At 35.5% G+C, this 26,212-nt stretch overlaps 1 long non-coding RNA gene across 1 annotated transcript in view, besides 1 other annotated feature; it reads right to left on the bottom strand.

The window, feature by feature from the left end:
* Positions 1 to 26,212, bottom strand: part of LOC124904475 (uncharacterized) — a 765,263-nt gene that overhangs the window by 579,021 nt on the left and 160,030 nt on the right. The window lies entirely within an intron of this gene.
* Positions 25,003 to 26,202: an enhancer, noted in NCBI's record as "P300/CBP strongly-dependent group 1 enhancer chr1:193583455-193584654 (GRCh37/hg19 assembly coordinates)". NCBI's record gives its function as "activates an origin of replication core promoter dependent on BRD2, BRD4, P300/CBP, MED14 and CDK7 cofactors, with strong dependence on P300/CBP, by STARR-seq in HCT116 cells {active_cell/tissue: HCT116}" and the evidence as "EXISTENCE:reporter gene assay evidence [ECO:0000049][PMID:35650434]".

Below are 26,212 nucleotides of genomic sequence, written 5' to 3'. Positions count from 1 at the left end.
AAACCTAGGCAATGCCATTCAGGACATAGGCATGGGCGAAGACTTCATGACTAAAACACCAAAAGCAATTGCAACGAAAGCCAGAATTGACATATGGGATCTAATTAAACTAAAGAGCTTCTGCACAGCAAAGAAACTATCATCAGAGTGAACAGGCAACCTACAGAGTGGGAGAAAAATTTTGCAATCTACCTATCTGACAAAGGTCTATTATCCAGAATCTAAAAGGAACTTAAACAAATTTACAAGAAAAAAACAAACAACCCCATTAAAAAGTGGGTGAGGAATATTAATAGACACTTTTCAAAAGAAGACATTTATGTGGCCAACAAACATGAAAAAAAAAAGCTCATCATCATTGGTCATCAGAGAAATGCACATCAAAACCACAATGAGATTTTGTCTCATGCCAGTTAGAATGGCAATCATTAGGAAGTCAGGAAACAACAGATGCTGGAGAGGATGTGAAGAAATAGGAATGCTTTTACAGTGTTGCTGGGAGTGTAAGTTAGTTCAACCATTGTGGAAGACAGTGTGGCGATTCCTCAAGGATCTAGAACTAGAAATACCATTTGACCCTGCAATTCCATTACTGGGTATATACCCAAAGGATTATAAATCATTCTACTATAAAGACACATGAACACACGTTTATTGCAGCACTATTCATAATAGCAAAAACTTGTATCCAGCCAAAATGCCAATCAATGATAGACTGGATAAAGAAAATGTGGCACATATACACCATGGAATACTATGCAGCCATAAAAAAAAGAATGAGCTCATGTCCTTTGCAGGGACATGGATGAAGCTGGAAACCATCATTCTCAGCAAGCTGACACAGGAACAGAAAACCAAACACTGCATGTTCTTACTCGTAAGTGGGAGTTGAACAATGAGAACATATGGACACAGGGAGGGGGAACATCACACACCAGGGCCTGCTGGGGGGTGAGGAGCAAGGGGAGAGATAGCATTAGGAGAAATACCTAATGTAGATGATGGGTTGGTGGGTGCAGTAAACCACCATGACACATGTATACCTATGTAACAAAGCTGCACGTTCTGCACAAATATCCCAGAACTTCAAGTATAATAAAAAAAATGAAAAATGAAAAATAAATGAAAGGCATCAAAATCAGAAAGGAAGAAGTAAAGTTGTCTCTGCAGATAACATGATTTTATAGAGAGAAAATTCTGAAGACTCCACCAATAAAAACATCAGGACTTACAAATAACTTCAGTAAAGTTACAGGATACAATATCAATCAACATACAAAAGCCAGTATTGTTTCTATACATTAACAAAAAACACTCTGAAAATTAAGAAAACAATCCTATTTATAGCAGTATCCAAAATAACAGCATACTTAGAAATAAATTTAACCAAAGAGGTAAAAAATCTGTGCACTGAAAACTAAAAGACAAAAAAAGAAATTGAGGAAGACACAAATAAATGGAAAGATATCCTCTGTTCATAAATGGGAAAAAATAATATTGTTAAAATACCCATACTACCCAAAGCGATTTACAGATTTGATATAACTCCTATCAAAATTCTAGTGGCATTTTTTCACAGAAATAAAAGAAAATAACTCTAAAATATGCATGGAATCACAAAAGACCTCAAATAACCAAAATAATCTTGAGAAAGAACAAAGCTAGAGGCAATACACTTCCTAATTTCAAACTACATTACAAAGGTATAGTATCAAAACAATATGGTAATGGCATAAAAATAAACACAGACTAACAGAACAGAGTAGAGATCCCAAAAATATACCCAGGCATATAAGGTGTACTAATTTTTGACAAGGGCACCATGAATACACAATGGAGAAAGATAATCTTTTTATTAAATGGTGGTGGGAAGATTAGATATACACACACATACGAATAAAACTGGACCCTTTTCTTATATCATACACAAAAATTAATCAGAAATGGATTAAAGCCTTAAATGTAAGACCTGAAACCACAAAATTCTTGGAAGGAACCAAGGAAAGAGCTCACACAACTCAACAGAAAAATATACAAAATAACATAATTTTGTTCTGAATGTTGTCCAAAATTCATGTGTTGAAATTTAATCACAAATATAATAATATAAACAGGTTGGACCTTTAGGAGGTAGAGCTCTCATGAATAGGAGAGTAAGGCTTTTTAAAAAGGACTTCACACAGCATTTGGCGTTTTTTGCTTTTCTATTCTTCTGCAATGTGAGGACACAGCAAGAAAGCCCTCATCAGATACCAAATGCTGGTGCCTTTAACTTGGACTTCCCAATTTTCAGAACTGTAAAAAGTCAATTTATTTTCTTTCTAAATTAGGCAGTCTGTAGTTCTGTCATTGTAGCACAGAAAGACTAAGACTTTAGCAGACATTTTTCCAAAGCAGACATAAAATTGGCCAAGAGATACATGCAAAGGTGCTCAACATTAGTAATCATCATGAGAATGCACATCAAAACCACCATGAAATATTCTGTCACATTTATTAAGATGGCTAATAGCAAAAAGACAGGAGATAACAAGTGTTAGCAAGGATGTGGAGAAAGGGAACCCTGTGTACTGTTGGTGGGAATGTAAATTGTTACAGCCATCATGGAAAATAGTATGGAGGTTCCTCGATAAAGTAAAAATAGAATGACCACATGATCCAATAATCTCACTTCTGGGTATATGTATCCCCCACAGAAAATAAAATCTGAATCTTGAGGAGGTATCGGCACCCCTATGTCCATTGCAGCATTAATCATAATAGTCAAGATATGGAAACAACCTAAGTGTCTGTTGACAGAAGAATGGATAAGCAAATGTGTATATAAACACACACAATAGAATATTATTTAGCCTTACAAAAGAAGAAAATCCTGCCATTTTCAACATGAATGAACCTGGAGGAAATTACGCTAAGTGAAATAAGCCAGACACAGAAAAATAAATACTTATGATCTCACTTACAAGTGAAATCTAAAAACCTCAAACTCACAGAAGCAAAGAGTAGAATGGTGGTTGCCAGGGGCTTGAATAATGAAGAAGATGAATGGTTTGGGGTTGGTCAAAAGTACAAACTTTCAATTATAAGATGAGAAAGTTCTAATGCACAGCATAGTAGCTCTAGTTAATAACACTGTATTATTTACTTGAAATTTGCTTACAGAGCAGATCTTAAGTGTTCTCCACACACACACACACACAATGTTTACTAGTGTGGTGAAGGATGTATTAATTTCATTGTGTTAATCAATATATAATATATTTGTATATAAAGTCATGTTGTGTGCCTTAAATATATTCAATTATTATTTGTTAATTATACCTTAATAAAGCTGAGGGATTTAAAACAAAATCAGAGAAAGGAATATGGGCTTTAGAACCAGAAAAAAAAAATGAAAGAAGAAAACTATCTTTGCTATAAATTCTAAAAGAATAGGGCAGTATTTATCTTGCTTGTCACATGCAAGGGGATCTTAATATTGATATAATGGGTTAAAATTTGGTTGATCAATAGCATATTATTCAAAAACTTCTAAAAATATGAATGCCATGCCATTTAAACTTAGGGTTAATGAATTAGAAAACAGTGTTCCAAAATAACAAAGTCTTTCAGTCTTTTATTGACCTCAGCATGCATCTTGACAATTTAAATATCTCACTCCCAAAATCTGGGAATCAAAAAGGCCTGGATATCATTTAACATTTGCTTATAAAAGACATAAGAAAGGAAGATAGAATAAAGAGAGAATGTGTTCGTTTTTCTATTAATGTGTGTTTTTTTCTAAATTCTGCATAACCTTTAAAACTCCAGTTACAATGGTCTGTGTTGGGGTATAAAAAGCTCTATAGGATTCAAAATGCTGGAGTCTAAATCCTATTATATTTAAATACATAGCCAGTAATTTTGCCTGGTTTTCTATTGTTGTTTTATACATCCAAGACAATCAATCAAAAAATACAATAAAAAATCTGATGAGAAGCCCAGAAATAACCTTTCATGACAACGTCTAGGCCACATATGATTTGTTTCCTGAAATTGAGGTCCTAAGTGACAATTCTGTTTTTGACCTTGTATCCAATGGAGGTTTTATGTCTGTACTTGTAATGAGTTGCCCAGCCTTGGTCTTGGTGTCCTCTGTTCTGTGGCATGTCATTATCTCTTTCTTGTTTCTTTTTTTGTTCTTTCAGTCTATGATTTGCTGGGGCTTGTTCTTTTAAACCACTCTGTTGTTATCTGACACAGATAGCTTTTTTCTAGGTATTTTCTATCCACAATTCTACTTTCCACTAACCAGAGAAAATGTCACCTGAAATATGTGGGCCTGTTTTCTCCTCTGATATGGCAAGGAATATTTACCACTAGATCAAATAAATAGACACAGAAGAAAAATCTTTTCTTAAAAAAGTATGAAAATGCTTTGTAAATTACCTGTAAGTTTTCTAAATCAGCAGATACAGAGACCGTTTAATTTGTAAATATAATGAAATTACTCCCCATTTGTCCAGTGAAAGGAAATGGGGTGTTCCTATTTCAATAATCTACCTGATAATTGTTATAAATACTAAGTAGGTTAAAATTTGTATGATATAGGATTATTTCTTAAAATATACAAGACTTCAAAGAGGACTGAACATAAATTGTTCTATCCCTATGATAGAAGTCACTTAAGCATCCTGAATTCTTTTAGTAATTATTGGGAACATCAATAGTCCTTGCACTAAAATGTACAAAGTGTTTTTTACTGGGGCTTTCTGCTTTTTGAATTTTGAGCAAATGAGAGTTGATTAGAAATTTAATCTAGACTTTATCATCTTCTATCCAGATTATATTGATACAGCTTCCTAATCAATTCATGCAACTTAAGTTTTTATCTACCCTCTGACGTTAAGCACCACTTTTATCATGTTATTTCCTGAAATGAAAACCTCCAGTGGTCCCTTAGTTTATATTGTATCAGGTCCTGTCTACTTTGCCTAGTTTTCAAGATATTCCAAAATTGATCCCCTACTTCCCAACATTATTTTCTGATTTTTTTCTCAAGTCATAGTTTAGTTTATTACCCAATTTAGAAGTTATATATTTTCTAATATTATTCACTGTGATATATAATATAAATAGACTAAAACAGCTCTTTTCTACCTATAATATTAATTATTAAAAAAAAGAACATGTCCCACATTTATTCTCTCCATGAAACCAAATACATTAATGAATGGGGAAGAAAGAGGAAAAACTACTTTCCCTCATCAACAAGCACGGGCACAGTTCTGAGCCTTTGCATGCTCATTAATTAGTTGAAATATACAAAGCATTTAGCACAGTGCTGAATATAGTAAGGACCAATAAATGTTTCTTTTTATTATTATGTTATTTAATCCTCTCAACAAACTTGTCAGAAGACACAGAGGAGGGGAGTGGAGCTCTGAAAGAGCATGTGATCATCCAAGCTGACACACTAGCAAGGAGCACTGGGATGGAACCAAGCTTTCCCAGCAATTGGCAGAAACACAGTGAAAAGTAGTTTAAATAAAAACAAGTTTTGTTACATCAAATTAAAAAGAGTCCAGAAGTGTGGTGACTATAGGACCAGTTAATTCAATGGCTCAATAATGTTATCAAGGACCAGATCCTCATCAACTTGCCACTCTGACTTCTGAATTGGTTAACTTGATCCTCAGCCTGGTTCCTCTCACAAAGAAAATACTGTACATCCACAGCAATCCCTGCCCAAACATTCAGACACAATAACATGCAAAAGAAAAAGACACTTCTTAGCAATGAAAAAGCAACCCCAGAAACTTCCCAGCAGGCCTCACCTCTGATTTCATTGGTCAATGTCTAAAATCATCACCAGCAAGGGAAATGGGGCCAGTAACAACTGGTTTGAGCACAAGCGTACCCACCTCTCCGTGGGTGGAGATTAAGCAACTTCCTCTGAAGCTTGTGTGGAGAAGAAAATACATGAAAAAAATCTGGGCTCTGTTTTGAAAGAGGTAGAGGGGATGTATAAATGAATATTGGGAAGAAAAATCATTAGGGCTTTCTGTTGCTTTATTGCTTCAAAATAGCAAATGTTAACTTAACTGACTAATTTGAACATATAAAGATCTATGGTTATTACAGAGAAATAAACAGGGAAGAGGAGAAGAAGGAAGGGAGGGAAGGAAAGTCATGTTCATGATTGTGCGTGCCACTCCTACAGGCTATGAAAGTAGTTACTGAAAATCATAGATGTCTGCAGGAGGATCTGTGTATGCTAGACAGATTTTCAGAGATAAAAATTACTTTAATCCCAATAGGGAGCTGATGGTAACCACGTTCAAGAAAGCAGACCATCAAGAACTAATGAGGCTGTCAGGTCTGTGAGCTAACCAAGGAACAGACACATCAGAAATGATTCAGCAGGAGGCATAACTAACAAAACAATCATTTCTAAATAGCAAAGCTATAAAAGAGGACAAAATTCAACTCTTTTATTTCTTAAAATGTTATTTTTTCAACTAGAAAATAATACTGCATCCTTTAAAAAGGATGGCAACTAAGAAGTGGGCATTACTTAAATTTTATTAATGCCTATTTTTTCTCATGTCTTTAAAATTCAACAGACAACATAAGCAAAAAGGTTAAATAGTAATTCTCACTGAAGGGGAAATAACTTAAAAATTTTGAGCTTACAGGTTTGTGCAAGCCTGTGAATCAGAGAATATATAAAGATGATCACATATATATACACATACATATATACACATATATATATACACACACACATATATATATGTATGTATGTATGTATGTATGTATGTATGTAAACAACCTGGTTCTTTTTCATGGAAAGAAATGGATATTCTTCTTTCTAAATATGATTCTGGATTATTAAAACATGTATAACCTGGGAACTTACATCATAAAAGAACTATAGTAACTAATTAATCTGTCCTAGTCCATTTTCTGCTGCTACAATAGAGTACTTGAGACTGGGTAATTTTTTAAAAAAAGAAGTTTATTTGGCTCACAGTTCTGAAGTCTGGGAATTCCAAGATCAGGCAGCCTATCTGGTGAGTGCCTCATGCTGCTTCAACTCATGGCAGAGAGTGGAAGGGGACGTAGGAGTGTGCAAAATGGAACAGAAAAACATAAAGGCAACCTTGCTTTATAGCACCCTGCTCTTGTAGGAACTAATCCATTCCCTGAAGAATTAGCCCAGTCTCATGAGAACTGCGTTAATCCATTCATGAGGGCAAACTCCCATGACGCAACCACCTCTTGCATTGGCAATCCCAACTTCATTACATTGACAATTAAACTGCAACATGAATTTTGGCAGGGACACTCAAACCATAACAGCATCTATCAAGGAATAGTTCTTTTAAGAACTTGTTCACCACTTCCAGGGTTTTATTAAAGAAGTAAGCTGTGCAATGCTTTTCATTACTTGCCAAGCCTTCTTTTGTCTGATCTGAGAAGGGAACCTGGTACAGTGAGTTTCCTTTAGCTCTGGAAACACAGATTGTCTTAAGGAGACTCAATGATGTAGATGATTGTACACCGCAATTCTCCTCATGAGATGTAAATTCAGGTACTTAGAGCACCTATCCTCCAAATGGATTTCTGTAAGTATTTTCCTGGCCAAGCTAGGGACAACCCAGGATTATGATCTGTGCATATAGAGTTTTTAGGAACAAACCTGGGAATCTCATAGGTTCTGAAGTTGAATATGTGAATTATACACCAAAAATAACCAAGAATTACTTTAAGGCATGTTAGTAGTGGAAACCTGGCAGCATCAAGTGACATGACCATGTCTACACAGGGCTAGTAAATTCAGAAACAATTTTCAATTAAATTTTACTGCCCGCAGAAAATTCTACAGTAGTCCCCCCTTTATCTGAAGTTTTGTTTTCTGTGGTTTCAGTTACCCATGGTACAGCACAAGATATTTTGAGAGAGAGAAAGACCACATTCACACAACCTTTATTACAGTATAGTGTTATAATGGATCAGTTATTATTGTTACTTTCTTACGGTACCTAATTTGTAAATTAAACTGTATCATAGGCATGTGTGTATGTATGTAAGGAAAAAGACATAGTATGTATAGGGCTTGGTACCAATTCGTTGTTGTAGATAGCCACTAGTCTTGGAATCTATTCCCTGTGGTAAGGAGGGATTACTGTAATTCACATTTTAATCTTCTGTCTCTAACCAGTTCATTACCTAATGTTTCCATTAAATTCCTTAATAAAATGTATGTGTCAACTATAGCCTAAAAATATACACAGTGAATTTTGAGTCACACTATGGAATACCCTGCTTTTGTATTCAGGTATAGTTGTCCTTCGGTACCCACGTGGGATTGGTTGCAGGACCTCCCACAGATACCTGACTCTGTGGATGTTTAAGTCCCTGTTATAAAATGGCATGGTATTTGCATATAACCTATGCATATCCTCTCATATTCTTTAAATATGTGCCTATTATGTATAATACCTAATACAATGTAAATGCTATATAGTTATACTGTATTATTTAGAAAATAATAAGAAAAGTCTGCACATGTTCAGTATATACACAATATTTTTTTCAAATATTTTCAATCTGTGGTTGGTTGAAACTGTGAACGCAGAACTCACACATAGAGAAGGCTGACTCTATTTTCACATAATGTCACCAAACTTTCCCAGAGTTTGGAGGGGAAAATCATATCACATTTATTCAATTTGTTTTTATTATGTAACGAATGAGTGAATGAGAATTCATGTTTTCTACTATCATTTTTAAAAGAAATGTTTTCTACTATCAGTTTTTAAAAGGAAACTAGGATTTTTTTTCTACGTGCTGTTTCCTAATTCTTATGTTTATGTTGCTGGGAATCACACAATAACTTTTTGTTAAAGTAAAACATACATCAGAAAATTACACAAATCATAAGAGTAGAGCTCAATGGATTTTCCCAAACCAAACCCACCTGAATAACCAGAACACACTCAACAAAATAAAAGAGCAGCATAACACAAACATCTGCCTCTTTCTGCTCCCATATTTCTTCTTAGTCACTCTTCCTCTCAAGGGCAACTAGCTTCACCACCAGTCACCGTAGATTTATTTTCCCTGTTTTTGTGTTTAATTTTAAAAATATATACAAGATATACTTTTTTCTACCTACTTCTTTCCCTCGATCTTACATTTCTGAGACACATTAGTAGGAGAAGGTATTGCAATAGTTGTTCATTATCAGTGCTGTAAAATATTTTTTTGTATGAATAGATCAAAACTTATTTGCCCATTTTACTGTTTATGGGAAGTTGGATAATTTTCAACTTGAATGGTGCCACTAAAAACATAACATGATTTTTGGTGAACATGAACATATTTATCTTGTATATATACAAATAAGGAGCTGCCAGGTCATAGGATGTGCATATATTCAGCTGTAGGAAAGGGAGCAAAACAGTTTTCCAACATGACTATGACAATTTACAACACTGTATGAGAGTTCTATTTTTTCACATCTTTTCTAACATTTGGTATATTCTTTTTTCCATTCTGTTTTAGCTCATTGCAGTTTTAATCTTTATTTTCCTAATGGCTGATGAAGTCACATATCTTTTCATATATTAATTGGCCATGTGGATCCAATTAATGGATACAAATCCATTATACAAACATACCATTTGTAATGTGCTGAAGACTTTTGCCCCTTTTTCTATCGGGTTTACTGTAGTTTTCTTATTGATTCCTAGGAGTATTTTATATATTTTGGATAAGAATCTGTTGTCAGTTACACATGTTATAATTATCTTCTCCTGCTCTGTAGCTTTTCTTTTCACTCCCTTAGTGGTATCCTGAAGGCAGCTCTTCCCAAAGTTCTTATGTTCAGTCTCTTCCACCTTTGTCCCTCAGTCCCTCTCTGGTGATCTTATACCTAGCTCCAAGAATCTCATTTATGAGAGTTCTAGCTTTAATTTTTTTTCATCAATTTCCAAATTTGACTTGCCTGAGAGCTCCCCCTTGAAGGCCAACCAGAATTTCAAAAGCAATCTATCCAACATCAAAATCACCCTTCTTCAACAAAGTGTTTTCTTGTCTTCTGTGTGTTATAACTGGCGATACTATTATCCTCATTTGCAATGCTCAAAACTATGAGTGACCTTTGAGTTCTCTCTTTCTCTCTGTCTCTCATTTCCTATACCTAATCAATAGCCACTGTTGCAACCCAAACCCAAAGCTGGCTCCTGTAAGTCCTGAAGTAGGAGAGGAGAAATTTGCCTATCTCTGTCCTCCATTAATGCGCCTGTCCCACTGATAAAACTTTTGCATTCTTAATTCTACCCTCATTCGTCACCAAATTCTCAATAACTCTCTATGTTGCTCTGTAAGAATTCTTGGACCATCAGGCATTCTGGCACATAATGAAAGCTCTCTGTGTCTTTGAGGTCACAAAAATCCCCAGTGAGGGACACCGGGAGACTCTTACTAAATTCCTGGCATTTTTTCAACTCTCAGACTTCCTTCCTCTATTACATTCCAGTGAGGGTATTCTAACTAAAATTCATTTTTTCCTCCTGTTCTGCTGATATTATACTCTCCACAAGATTGTCCCATTTCCTGAGAATGAGACCTCCATTAGGTGTTCTGATACTGACTTAATTGGCATGCTCACAACTGCAGCTCTCTCCCCAGAGGAACGTGCAAAGAAAAAAAAAAAATCCAAAATCCTCAAGTGTCATTCTCTACTTCCCATTTCAGAAGTCATTCGATTTCTTACAATTTAAGAAGGCTTTGGAGGTTGGAGGAAAATCTAATCTCCAGGCTGAAATTTCATGCATGAGTTTCTTTGGCTCTCTGAACTTACAAATTCAAAATGCTCACGACTGGACTAATTCAAGGCTCGCCTCAGCATGGATGTGTCATAAGAAAAAAACATAAATCAAACCCCTTCCCACCCAACAACAACAAAAGGCGAGGGCACGGATCTTTCTTTGTCTTTTCTTGAAGTGGGAGTGATGAGAAAATTATATAACACAATACAAATCAGAAAATTCTGAAATCCTAACAGTTGCACTAATCTCTCCTTTCCCTTCTCCTCCCTCTCCCTCATTACTGGCTCCCTTTTGCTCTCCTTTTAACTCTTGTTCTTTGGAACCACCTCTGCCATATTCCCTGTTTCTCTTTTCTCACACTGGGCTGCTCACACTCAACTAACTGCAAAGATCACCACGTCCAACATCTGACCTTTCCCACCTTGTCCAAACTCCAAGAAATATGTTTCATCTCTTACTCTGATTCCCTGCTGAATACATGTTTCTACCTCACTGCAAACCATCTTCTGCCTGTGTTTTACTTGTCCCATCTTTTCCACCTTGCTGTCAACCACCTCTGCCCTCTGCCTTCTCACTGTCAAATATTAGTAAGCATAAACTAACTGACAGGTTTATAGTTTTATCAACAAGATGGGCTCCATAAAATTTAATAAAATTTAAATTTTTGAACTCAAGACATTATAAAAGTGCTTTATGCAAAAAGTAGGTTAGGCTTGGAATTCAGTGTATTAAATAAATACAACTTTATTCTATGTATATGTGAAAATATTTACAGGGAGAGAAGCTATGTACTCAATCTTTTTCCTTTCAAATGTTTATTCAATTTTATTCTCCATAATATGGGTGTTATGACATGCTTACTGTGACTACTCACAGAGCTGGTAGGAGGTACAGTTAATGAACATTTGCCAAAAGCTTAAAAATTCTTAAAGATAATTTATGGCTCCAAAAGCCCTTTTATTTTATTCTATGATAGTAAACTGATCTAGTTTGTCTGTTTGCACTGAGAAATGAAAGGACATAAAGAATGGAAGCATATAAAAGACATCATGAATGCTGCAAATTTTGGAAGCATTTAGTGTTCAGATTTTAGAGATATTCATTGTAACACAAATTTTGGAAGCATGTTTAAAGCAAGGATGATTTCTGAATTATGGAACAATTTCCTCGAATTACACCTCAGATGCTAGCACAAAAGTTACCTATTTTCTTACATGAAGATTTTTGAAACCATATTGAATAAAGAAGCTGCTTCTCCCTGGGCTCATTTAATAGTTAATTTAATTCTAAACATGCACATCAGTGCAGTGCTTTTATTAAAAAATAATAACCTTCAGTGAGGGAATCAGATGGTTCTTTTCTAATTTAACACTATAAAATCTGTAAATTACCTGATAAAGTTTAAGTGCATATACATATATCTTAATATATATATCCTATATATCTGATATATAAGGCCCACATATATATACTTAAAATGCCTTTATTAAAATTGGGCCTAGATTATAAATAATAGAGAATTTATAATAGTAATATTAATGACTATTTAGATTAATATCTCTAATAGAACAAAATCATTTTTGTTGAATACAAAACAAGTGGGGAGCTTTTCCCAGTCAAATTATAACATTTTGTAAATACAGAGAAAGAGAGATGCTGTTGCAAATATAAATATCTAATTGATATATAGATATGTGGACAAACTCATGATACCTACACTCCTACAGTGGCTTGATTAAATATAAAATTTTAGAGATTGATATTTTCATAATTCTTGATGCAAGTCAGATAAATCGAAGCATAATGAATCCTCAAAATAATGCAAATTATATTTAAAAAAGAAAAATTCAGTCAAAACAAAAACAGCTTATATCTTACGTGGTACACCAATGATCCCGTAAGTCAGTAACAATTCTTCTAGTATGTCTCTAGGAAACATTGATTTTCAAAAATTTTAATAAGAACAGCCTATAAACTTAATATTAGGTTAATGCTAGAGAAATATTAGTTGAATATGTGCTATCCCGTTTTAATGGCTTAATTGTGTATTATAAATGCCACTAACAGAGAGTGCTCTCTGATCAAGGTCTCCAGATATCCCTATTCACACCCCCAACACAGGCTCAACGTTAGTTATTGTCTTCTTCCAGTGTTCAGCTCAGTTGACTTAAGACTGGTTCTTATAAAGAATAGAGATAACATGCTGAAATAGGAAGCACCTGAAACATCCGCCTCTTTCCATTTCTGTTCATCTCCTAGTTAAAGCCACACCAATGCAATCTAGCTGGTATCTTTTGTTTCCTGATTTCTATTAGCAAAGAATAAAACCAGGATGCCCCATTCCTTTTACCTCTGACGACCTTTATCTTAATGACAACCCAAAAGTGTTTTTGAATCAGGCTCTGTTTTCCTCTCTTAATAGACTTACCAAATCTCAATTTCTTCAAGATGTAATTGATAGAGTGTTTCTAGCCTTTACCCATTTAAGTCTTTACAAAGCTTTACAAAGCTACTTTCAGCCTCTAAAGACTGCCACTGCAAAAAGGGTCCTGTAATCCAGCCACTCTCAATGTGTATTACGCAGAAATCTGGTTCCGTAGGATGGCAATATCCCAGGTACCAGATGGAAAAATCTTTCTTTACTGCAGGAATTCTCAGAACTTTTAACATGGAAATGTGCAGTGTGCTTCTTCAAAAAGGGGATAAGATAAGTAGCATTTCCCAGTCTGATTGTAGGAATAAAGCTCTTCTTTCACAGAGCATCTCACAAGAACAGTGACCCATGAAACATCCTTAGGGAAATGCTGTTTGAGGCAAGTATTCTAAAACCAAATGTACCGGCATGTGTGCCTCCCTGCTGCTATATTCTCTTTTACACTCAGCTGGAACATTTAATCCATAAAGCCAGACTTAGCTCTAGATACTGACAGAGTTAAGATTCAACATCAACTCGTCTTGCTCTTCCTGACATTCCCCCAGTGCTCCAATCCTGGTCCTTGGGCTTCTGCCAAACTACCGAGCTCAAATCCAGCTCCAGGAATGATTTCCAATCATGCTATCTTGTACCTAGGTCGAAAGAAAAGAACTGGAGCTGTGAGTTGTACTCATGATTTCTTCCAAACTCTCTTCCTTGGCCAAGAGACCAACTCTGTATTCTAGCTCTGAGGCTAGAGTCCATCCTGCCAATCACCGTAATTCTGGATCTCCATATATAATAAATATTCTCTCTACCTTGGCTGCATATACCTGGTGCTGACTTATCTGTACAATTACATAGTCCTGTTAGCTTCTACATATCCTTTGAATAAATGTTAGATTCTATTTGCATGTCTGAATTCTCAGTTTTAGCAATGAGATCTGTACCTAATTCATATTCTCACTGTATTGGGCTTCCCTAGGTCCCTTGTCCCCAGCTCTTCCTGATCAAATATGTCCTATACCCTTCTAAGTCCCACACCACTGGTCTGGCACTAAAGAAATTGGTTTGAAAAGGAAAACTGCAAACAAACAAAAAAAAGAATATAATTCCTAAATTCACTTATTACACTCAATATAACTATTTTCCTTTAAAAATTACACTGGAAAAAACAGTCTCAAATACTGTGGTAACATTAAATAACACCATACTGGAGATGGCCATAAAAAATATTTCATTTGAAATCTTTTTCTACAGTAAAAACAATGTCCAAATTCTCACTGGAGTTTAAGAGTAGTCTCAGAATTAAGCAAATTATCAGTTTAGAAATGTAATAGAGAAGCCTCCCAACAGGCCTCCCACATAGTCCCCTCAATATGTGGGTGTTTTGAAACAGTTGTCATATTTCCTTCTAGTCCAATCCCCTGCTTTTCTTCTACATTAAAAAAACTCTTTTAAAACTCTAAAGAATCACCTAAGAAAACTGCCTCATATTCAGTTATATAATTATGAAATTTGAATTTAAAACTTCTTTGAAATATTTTTAAATGTTTACCAGTCTATTTTAAACTCTCCTAAAACGAGGACCAATTTCTAGGACAAGACGAGGTAACAAGCAAAGATTGTGTCATCCCAGGAATACTGATCAATCAAAAATGATTAGCAAACATCATTTTACCTAGGATAGTTTATCTTTCTCAAGCTACAACTAGCCTTCATGGCCACTTTGTTTTGGGCTGTGACCACAGAAATAGAAATACATAGCTGGTGTTCTGGGGGACACACTCATACCTCTGTCACAGACTTCCAGCTGCCAGCGTCTGCAGTTCTGGGCCTGAGGGCTTTTTTCTCAAAACCTCAGAAAGCTTCCAACAAACAAAGATGAATTCTCCTTCAGGAGCAACCCTCAATGACTCTTAAGAGTTGGAGTCTTAATACCACAATTCCCTCACTTCATTGGTAGGGTAATTCTAGAGCGTAAGTTTTGGCTCCCTCGTTTTTCAGTTTGTCCAGGGGATTGAACTTCCGTCACCTACTGAGCGGGCTTAATAATGCACCTTGCTTAGAACTGGCTGCCCTTGTTCCCGTTTCTCTTCCCTACTTTGCTCTGAAAAATTTCCCATGACCTTTGCTTTTAGGTTAAATAAATTCTATCTACCTGTTCAGATCTACTTGCTGTCACCTAATTCTTTCATCATCTGCTTAATTTATGGTGACCATATGTTCATCTGGGGCTAGTTGGCCACAGAAAGTCCTGATTTATGCCTGTAATCCTGCAGGGCACCTGTTAATAGCACAACCTTTCACTCTCAAAAGAGTCCTGCTTTTGGCAATAAATTATATAGTCACCCTATATATAGTCCTATTACTCTGCCAAGATTCTCAGTTGCTAATCTTATGGATACATATAAAAACTTACACCTTGCTCTGTTCATTATTATAGTTTGTTCTATTTATTATTTCTTACCTAAGTTTCTATGTTTCCTCAATCCTGGCTCTTCCTTATACCTGAGAATTTAGGACACCCATGTATGTCCTGGTATAGCAGACTATATAATTACTAACATTGCCTTAATTGAGAATCACTGTTTTCTGGTTTTATGTAACATGTATAGAGTTGGTTTGCTTATTAATATTTCCAAGATAAAAGAAAACTTTTTATCAAGTAGCATACTTTTAGCATAAACCAAGTGATCTGGGCATTAAGGCAACCTGGAAGGCCAGTGGCAGACCAGGACGGAAAAGAGAAGAATCCAACTCTGTGGGGTCAGGCTGATCCCAGGAGGGCTGATGAACATCAAGTCAAAAGATCCAAGGAAAGGTGACAAATGGAGATTTTATTTGAGCAGGAGAAAAATGTTATTTATTTTGAAATTTTGTAAGATGCTGTCATTATTAAAAGCTACTTGTATTTTTTAATTGTCAAAAATAATCTGTATGAAGGAACAGTAATAATTCCACAGAGGAAAAAACAGTTGATCTGGCCATTGACTCATGAGTAGGAGTTCTGTTTTTCTGGTACGAAATATGAGGTGGTATATTCACATTTAGAGCCACAAATGAGAGTGTGTGGCAGTATGGAAGTAAGTTTTAAAAAATCTGTTTAACTGGAACACAGGTATTATTAAAGGGAGTGTCAAGAAATATTTTACACCGGTTCACCTAATTATGTTTGATTAAGGATGCTTTAGATCTACTTTTTCTGCTTGCTTTCTTTAATATAGTTGGGAAGATTAAATTTTTAAAACCTGTAATGTTACCAACTTTTTATTCAAATAAATACAAATACTCAATGTATACCATTGTGTTTCTTATTAAAACAATTCTTAAGAGACAGATGTCAAAATGTGTTTTAATAATGGTCAAAAATATAATTATGAAAATAAATGAAATCTCAATGTACCTTTTCCAAGTGTATTATTTCTTGAGAAACATGAAGGGCAAGAAAAACACAAGTAGTTTTTATTCTATGAAAAATCTTGGTCTGAAATATTAATACATATCTTATTTGTGATTTATTTCTTCTAACACAAATGAGAGTCATATCTTACTGTGCTTTTTTATTTAAAAATGCAAAGCCTCCAAATTGCAGAAATAGTTAAAGCAGAAGACTTCTGAGACTAAGGACATCCATGTACAAGTTGCCTAGATAATGCAAAATAAATCCAAAGAGAAGATATGACAGGGTGGTTTGAAAGGAATAAAAAAGCTTTCTGAATAATATTGAAACTCTAAAATAAATGAAGTTCCCCAGTTTGCTTTAATTGATCATTTTCAGTGAATCTTTCTATACCCCCACATAACCACCAGCATCTCACCAGCACTATTTAACCAATGTAGCACACAGGCACACACATTCACACACACACACACACACACACACACACACTTGTCACTTCTAGGCCTGGCCATAAACTCTGTGGACAGTCTTACACATTCTCTCTCTTCATCTAGCAGCTAAATTCAGGCAATGCAGTAGGACTCTGAAATCTTACAGTACTACAAAGAATCTACATAAAAGCAGCCTAGATCCTTGAATGACTAAATGGTACAGACTCTCTAACCTAATCCTAATGCATAAAGTGTTACAACTTACATAAAAAAAACCTTTATTTCATGAAGCCACTATTATTTATCTAACACAAGGTATCTCTGCATTTCAGGCCAAGGCAGCGGATCACTTGAGGTCAGGAGTTTGAAACTGGCCTGGCCAACATGGTGAAACCCCTTCTCTACTAAAAATACAAAAAAATTAGCTGGGCATGGTGGCAGGTGCCTGTAATCCCAGCTATTTAGGAGGCTAAGGTAGGAGAATCACTTGAACTTGGGAGGCGGAGGTTGCAGTGAGCAGAGATCGCACCACGGCACTCCGGCCTGAGTGACAGAGTGGGACTCCCTCTCAAAAAAAAAAAAAAAAAAAAAAGTGACCTCCAAAAAGATTGAACCAATTTACACACTCACCAGGAATATATTGGAAAATACGTTTAAAAACTTTTTAGACAACACTGAGAATTTGGATAATCTTTTTATCTTCACCAATATCGTGGGTAAAATGGTGTAATATTGCAGCATTAGTTTGCATTACAAATAAGTATAACAATCTGTGCATATGTATAAAAGCCGTATTGATTTATCTTTTCACTTATGTTCTACGCCTATTTTCTACACTTGCTAGATTGTCTCATTGATTTCTAAATGCTCATGATATAGTAAAACAACTAAATTCCATGTTGCATATGAAGAAACATTTTTCCCAGATTGAGAAACAAAAAAAGACCTGATATTTTTTATAACAGAAAAATTTATAATTTTTAAATTTTTAAAACTTGATAAGTGATTATATATGTAATTATGGGGTACGATGTAGAGTTTTGATATATGTTTTCAATATGGAATGATTAAATCAGGCTAATTAATAAATCCACACATCACATATATTTTTTGTGGTAAAAACATTTAAAATCTACTCTTTTAGCAATTTGAAAACATACAATGCATGATTATTTCATATAGTCACCATTCTGTGCAATAGGTCACTAAAGTTTATTCCTCCTGTAATTTTTATTAATATATTTATCAATATTTATTTCCCTGGCTTATACATTTTATGTCACGGACAGAAAAGCTTCTCCCATTCAGAAGTTATTTAAATATCCCACATTTTCTGCCAAATCTTTTGTACCAGTTATCTGACACTGCATAACAAATCACTCCAAAACGTGGCTTAAAATAACCATCATTTATTACTGTCTTTCACGGTTCTGGAAACAGACTGGCCTCAGCTGTAGTTCTCACTTAGGGTCTCTCACACGGTTACAATCAGACAGTGCCTGGAACTGGAGTCATCTCAAAAGCTTCTTCACTCATGCATCTGACAGTTGATTCTACCTGTTGGCTGAGATCCTTCCATGTGGCTCAGCTTAGTGTCTGGGTTCCAAAAAGGAACTGTCTCAAAAGAGGGAAAGTGGAAGCTGCCAGTTTCTTAAGGTCATATTATCTTGGCCAGGCAACCAGAGACCAGATTCAAGGAAAAGAACAGAGCTCCATCATTTCAAGGGAGGAGTATAGAAGAATATCAGAGACATGCTTTAAAAGTGCCATAGCTTTTATGCCTTAATTTTAAAAAATATAATCATCTTTATAAATATATAATTTGCACACAATAAAGTTCACTCCCACTTTTTTTTTGAGATGGAGTTTCGCTCCATCGCCCAGGCTGGAGTACCGTGGCACAATCTCAGCTCACTGCAACCTCTGCCTCCCGGGTTCAAGCAATTCTCTGCCTCAGTCTCCCAAGTAGCTGGGATTACAGGTGCCCACCACCACACCTGGCTAATTTTTTTGTATTTTTAGTAGAGACGGGGTTTCACCATCTTGGCCAGGCTGGTCTTGAACTCCTGACCTTGTGATTCACCCACCTCAGCCTCCCAAAGTGCTGGGATTACAGGCATGAGCCACCATGCCCAGCCCAAAATTCACCCATTTTAAGTATACAATTGGATGTACAGTTTGGAGTTTTGACAAAGGCATACAGTTGTATAATCACCACTACCAAAATATAAAACATTTCTATTACTCCCTAAATAACCACATGCTCTTTTGCATTCAATTTCCTTCTCCCATCCCTGGCTCACCACTGACCTGCTTTCAATCCCTGTACTTTGCTTTTTCTAGATTTTCACATAATAGTACAGTATGTTGTCCTTCATGTCTGGCTTATTTCACAGAGCATCGCACTTTTGAGATTCCTCCACGTTGTTGTATGTTCAGTAGTTCATTCCTGTTAGTGTTGAGTAGTATTTCATTCACTATATGAATATATCATGACTAGTTTATCCAGCCACCTGTTCATGGACACTTGTGTTGTATCCTGTTTGGGCTATCATGAATAAAGCTCCTGAGACTATTTGTGTACAAGTCTTTGTAAGGACATGTGCTTTTATCTATCTTTGGTAACTACCTAGGATTTGGATTGCTTAGTCATAGGTAAGTACATGTGTAATTTAAGAAAATGTACATCTTAAGTTTTTAGACCTTTAAGTAATGGGTCCGTCCGGAATTGTTTAGTTTAAGGAAGGAGTAGCTACCATGTTTTTCCAGACGGCTAGTCAGGTTTCTGAGCACCCATTTGGTGAGTAATGCTTGCTTTAGTTTTTTACAATACACCTGGATTATATACTAAACTCCCACATGCATTTGGGCCTAATTCTGGACATTCCGTTTTGTTCATTGTTGGGGTGCTGATGGAGATGGAAGTAGTAATGCTGTTGCTAATTCACACTGCTTTAAGCACTCTGTGTGTGTTAATTCACTGAATCTCCATGCCAATTCTATAAGATAAATACTATTTTAAAATTCAGATTAAAATTTAGGACAAAACCCAGAAATATTACATAATTTTCCCATGATCCCAAGGACAAAACCCAGAAATATTACATAATTTTCCCATGATCCCAAAGTCAGTAAGTAGCAAAGGTAAGATGTATATCTAGGCCCTCTACCTCCAGAGCCCACATGTCCAACCACTGGGCTGCTTTTACACCTCAACACATGCACGACTATTTCACTCTGCATCATCCTAATGAATGTTGCATTAAACCCTGTGTGAAGAACTGTCCTGTCGCTTACTTTTTTTTTTTTAAATATGAACTATGTAATTAGCTTAACTAGTTCCCACCCCAAAAAATCCCTTTGGTATTTTGATTTACATAAACATGTAAATTTGTTCAGGGAGAATGGACTACTTCATAGTATTGAATATGTTAATATTTCTATTTCTAAATTTATTTTAAAATCAGGATTTTTTTTCCTCAGTGTCAAGTTTCATTTGATATACTTTCTTTATGTGAGACAAATTTGGATCCAAAAAGTGTTTACTAATTTACATTCCCAGCAACTGTGTATGAGTTCCCTCTTCTCCTCATCCTCACCAGCATTTTTAAATTTTTGCCTTTTTGATAATAGCCATTCTAACTGAAGGGAAGCGATATCTCACTGTGGTTTTGACTTGCATTTCCCTGATGATTAGTGATATTGAGCACTTTGTCATATACCTGCTGGACATTTGTGTGTCTTCTTTTGAGATATGGTTATTCAGGTCTTTTGATCATTTTTTAATCAGAGTATTTGGGTTTGCTATTGTGTTCCTTATATATTCTAGACATTAACTCTTTGTCAAGTACATAGTTTACAAACATTTTTCGCATTCTGTAAGTTGTCTCTTCACTCTATGTATTGTTTCCTTTGCTGAGCAGCTTTTTTAGTTTGGTATAATTCCACTTGTTCATTTTGGCTTTTGTTGCCCATGCTTTTGAGATCATATTCAGAACATCTTTGCCTAGACCAATGTCATGAAGTGTTTCCCTTATGTTTTCTTCTAGTAGTTTTTATAGTTTCAGGTCTTTAAGTCTCTAATTCATTTTGAGTTAATTTTTGTATATGGTGAACGTTCAAGGTCTAGTTTGTCTGCATGTGGATATCAAGCTTTCCCAGCACAATTTATTGATGAGACTGTCCTTTCTCCAGTGTGTATTCTTGGCACCTTTATGGAAAATCAGTGGACTCTAAATGTGTAGATTTACTTCTGGACTCTTCATTCTGTTCTATTGGTCTATGTGTCTATTTTTATGCCATTGCCATGCTATGGTGGTTACTGTAGCTTTGTAGTATATTTTGAGGTCAGATAGTATGATGCTTCCAGTTTTGTTCTTTTTGCTCAGGATGGCTTTGGCTATTCAAGATCTTTGCGGTTTCATACAAGTTTTAGGATTTTTTTTCTATTTTTGTGAAGAATGTCATTGATATTTTGACAGGGATTGCATTGAATCTGTAGATTGCCTTGGGTTGTACAGATATTTTAGCAATATTAATTTTTCCAATCCATGAGATATATTTCCATTTATGTCTTCTTCACTTTATTTCATTAATTTTTTATAGTTCTTATTGTAGGTATCTTTCACCTCCTTGGTTAAATTTCTTCCTAATATTTTGTAGCTATTATAAATGGGATAGCCTTCCTGATTTCTCTTCCAGATATTTCACTATTGGTGTATAGAAATGCTATCAATTTTTGTATGTTGATTTTGTATCCTGCAACTTTACTAAATTCACATGAGAAAACAGTATTAAAGTTCCTGCAAAAAATAAAAACAGAACTACCTTATGACCCCCAAAATTTACTACTGGGTATACAGCAAAAGGAATTGAAATTACTGTGTCAAAGAGCTATGCTTATGCGTATGTTTATTGCAGCACTATTCTCAATAGCTAAGAGACAAAATCAACATAAATGTCCATTGACAGATGAATGCATAAAGAAAACATGGTATACACACAATAGAATACAATTATAAATAAGAATGAAGTCCTGTCATTTGTGGCAACATAGATGAACCTGGAGGACATAACGTTAAGTGAAATAGGCCAGGCACAAAAAGACAAATACCACATGATCTCGCTTATATGTGAAATCTAAAAAGTTGAACTCGTAGAAGTAGACAGTATAATAGTGGTTACTAGAGGCTGTGAAAGGTATGAAGGTGGGAAGAATGGAAAGAGGTTGGTCAAGGGGCACAAAGATAGTCAGATAAGAAGAGTAAGTTCTGATGTTCTATTACATAGTAGAGTGACTATAGCCAAGAACAATGTATTGTATATGTCAAAATAGCTAGAAAAGAAAACCTTGAAAGTTATCACCACAAATGATAACCTTTTTGAGGAAACGGATATACTAACTACTTTGATTTGATCATTATACTATGTATATATGCATTGAAACATCACACTGTACCCCTTAAACATGTACAAAAATTTTTAAAGTGTTTACCTTCATTTTCCTCAAGGAGGATGAATTTATAATAGCCTTAGGGTAATTCAAACTCAAAGACCTTTGTCAGGAATATGGGAAACGAAACTGTGAAGTAGGCAAAGTACTCAACATGCACACATTTACATATATATATATATATATATATATATTTTTTTTTTTTTTTTTTTGAGATGCAGTCTCACTCTGTCCCCCAGGCTGGAGTGCAGTGGTGTGATCTCAGCTCACTGCAAGCTCTGCCTCCCGGCTTCATGCCATTCTCCTGCCTCAGCCTCCCAAGTAGCTGGGACTACAGGTGCCCGCCACCACGCCTGGCTAATTTTTTTATTTTTTATTTTTAGTAGAGACTGGGGTTTACACCATGTTAGCCAGGATGGTCTCGATCTCCTGACCTTGTGATCCGCCCACCTCGGCCTCCCAAAGTGCTGGGATTACAGGCGTGAGCCACCGCACTCGGCCTTACATATTTTTCTTAATCTTTCTCCATTTTTTAATACACCATATCTAAGTATCCCACCATTGGTTCCTGACCTTGTAATGCAGTATTACATTCTTCTTATACTATCCCAAGCTATGACCATTCCACTGATACTCCAAATCTCATCCCTTTTCCTTTACAAAGAATGCAAAGAGAGCTAGCTTATTTCTCAACCACACCCATGTTAATATGCAGGTGGGAGTAATCTAAAACAGAAGCCAACCTCCAAAATAACCTAGCCCTTCAACTCAGTAAACACAAATATGTTTGAATGGAACCTTTCTCATAGCAACGCTGCTCCTCTTATAATCTCACTCGAATATATGAGAGAGTTTCTAATCATCTAAGTGGGGAGGCAGGGAGAAAGTATTTGTAGGCAGACATAACCATGCTATGCCTCATATTCATCCACACTGGCTGCATCTATAGACAGGCTTAGTCCAAACTTCTTTTATACCTTTTTTACAGTCATAAATTACTTAAAAAGTGGGCACATTTTGAAAATTGTGTTATTAGAGGATGGCATCATTGTAGAAACATCAGAGTGCATTTACACAGACCTGGATGGTATGGCCTACTACACACCGTATATAGTCAGTAGCTATATATGCTATAGCCTGTTACTCCTAGACTACAAACCTGTACAACATGTTACTATACTGAATACCATAGGCAGTTGTAACATGGTAAGCATTTATGTATCTAAATGTAGAAACTGAGTAGTAAAAATACAGTAATAACAGATTTTAGAAAATCATACACCTGTATAAGGCATTTACCATGAATGGAAGTTGGTCTGGGTGAGTCAGTGAGTGAGTGGTGAGTGAATGTGAAGACCTAGGACATTCTTGTGCACCACTGTATACTTTATAAACACTGTACACTTTTGCTACACTAAATTTATTTTTAAAACATTTTTCTTTCTTCAATAGTAAATTAACCTTATCTTACTATAACTATTATAAACTTTAAAATTCTAACATTTTGACTTTTTTGTTATAACACTTAGCTTAAAATACAAACGGTTGTATAACTGTACAAAAAAATTTCTTTCTTTATATCCTTATTCTCTAAGTTTTTCTCTATTTTTAATTTTTGTTTTGTTAAAAACTAAGACACACACACAATAGTGTAGGCCTGCAAGGATGAGAATTAATATCACTGTCTTCCACCTCCACATCTTGTTCCACTGGAAGGTCTTCAGGGACAATAACACTCTTGGAGCTGTCATTTCGTATGATAACAATGCCTTCTTCTGGATTACCTCCTGAAGGAGCTGCCTAAGGCTCTTTACAGTTAACTCTTTTGTTTTATATGTAGAAGGAGTACAGTCTATATTCACAATAAAAAGCAAAGTAGGATTGTTTACACTGGCATTGCTGCAAATACAACAGCTACTACGCCATTAGGCAATATGAATTTCTCAGCTCCATAATCTTATGGAACCACTGTCATAATATGCCATCTATCCTCAACTGAAACATCATTATTCGGGGCATGACTGTATTCTCATTTCTAAATTTAGGCAAGAAACATGGCCTTATTCTGTTTTTTTAAAAAAGCAATCATTAAATTCCTCCAAACTAATATTTACTATCTCTTCCATACAAAAACATTACAAATTTCAGAGTAAAATATCCAGTAAGAGAGTCATAAAACAAAGTGGATTTATAATGATCTATGACTTAAAGTAAACAAACAAAAGAAGTCTTCCTAAAAAGTCATTACCCATACATCTCACCCGATGAATATGTATGTGGCATTTCTAACCCACCATCCCTGAAAGGTGGCTATTTCATTTTTGAATTTGGTTTGTCCTTGTTGAAAACCATTTCTCACGGGGAACTCTTCAACATTATCTATCTACATTGGGACTTAGGCATGCATGCTGTTCATCAGAACAGTTTTGTTTTTTTTTTTTATGCCAAAGCCTTATTGTGAGATAATAACACGTGCTGTAGTCTAAATATTTGTGTCTCCCAAAATTCATATGTTGGAATCCTAACCCTTAAGATGCTGGCATTAGAAGGTAAGGGCCTTTGGAGGGTGATTAGATCATAAAGGCAGCGCCTTCATAAAGGGATTTGTGCCCCGATCATCAGGACCCCAGGAAGCTCTCTTGCCCTTTTTCTATCATATAAAGACACAGGGAGACAGCACCATCCACCAACCAGGAAACAAGCCTTCACAGACACCAAATCTGCTAGGTTCTTGATCTTGGTCTTAAACTTTGGAACTGGGAAAACACTGAGAAATAAATTTCTATTGTTTATAAGCCATTCAGTTTGTAATTTTTTATAGCAGCTAGAATAAAGAGAGCATGTTACAAATGAAGGCCATATTAAGAGTCAAAAAATATGACTTCTTATGAAAACCCAATCATTCTCTGAGCTAATGAGGAGGAAACTGAGATTCAAAGAGGGGAAGTGACTTACCGAACATGACACAGCAAGATTACAGCAGAGGTGACATCAACCTGGATGCTTGATTTTTAGTCATCGCTTCTGCTGCTGCTCATGCAGCTACTGAGGTCATGCTTGACTGATTCAAAGATAATAAGTACAACAACATGGCATGTCTCTCCTAACAACAATTCTTTATTTTCCAAACTGAACTGAACATATACTACTGTTTCACTAGAACACATTGAGTGGTGGCTTTTTATATCAAAGCCTTTAGTCTTATTATGTCTATTTATATTGAGTTGTGTCCAGGGATTTCAAAGCCAAATAATTTTAATCATGAAATATCATCAGTCTTGATTATATCTATAAACAATATTTGGTAATGGGGACATAGAACATCAACTTGTATGTACTTTATTTGGATTCTTTTAAGTAAGGTGTCCTAGAAGAGATGATTCCTAGTTTGACTGAAGGGATAAGAAAGAGGAACTCACCAAAAGTCAAACCACCATGTCTCCATTACTATTTCCTTCTCAACTGCAGATTCCAGAAGGAATGAGACTGAAATCTCTTTTCTCCTGGGATCAGATATGCCAACATGCCAATTATCTGTTCAAAAGGGGCTTATGAGTTCACCAGAAACGGAATCTATTACCCTCGATTGTGACAGGTTCTACATAAAATGTTCACACACAAAAATAAACCATTTTGAATAAAGACAAATATTTCAATAATGCAGTCCTACGAAAAAGCTCCATTTTGACAGAT

The sequence above is a fragment of the Homo sapiens genome, chromosome 1, assembly GCF_000001405.40.
Source record: "Homo sapiens chromosome 1, GRCh38.p14 Primary Assembly".
NCBI lineage: Eukaryota > Metazoa > Chordata > Mammalia > Primates > Hominidae > Homo > Homo sapiens.
Note: the sequence above shows the minus strand (reverse complement) of the source record. Positions and strands in the feature narration are given on the sequence as shown.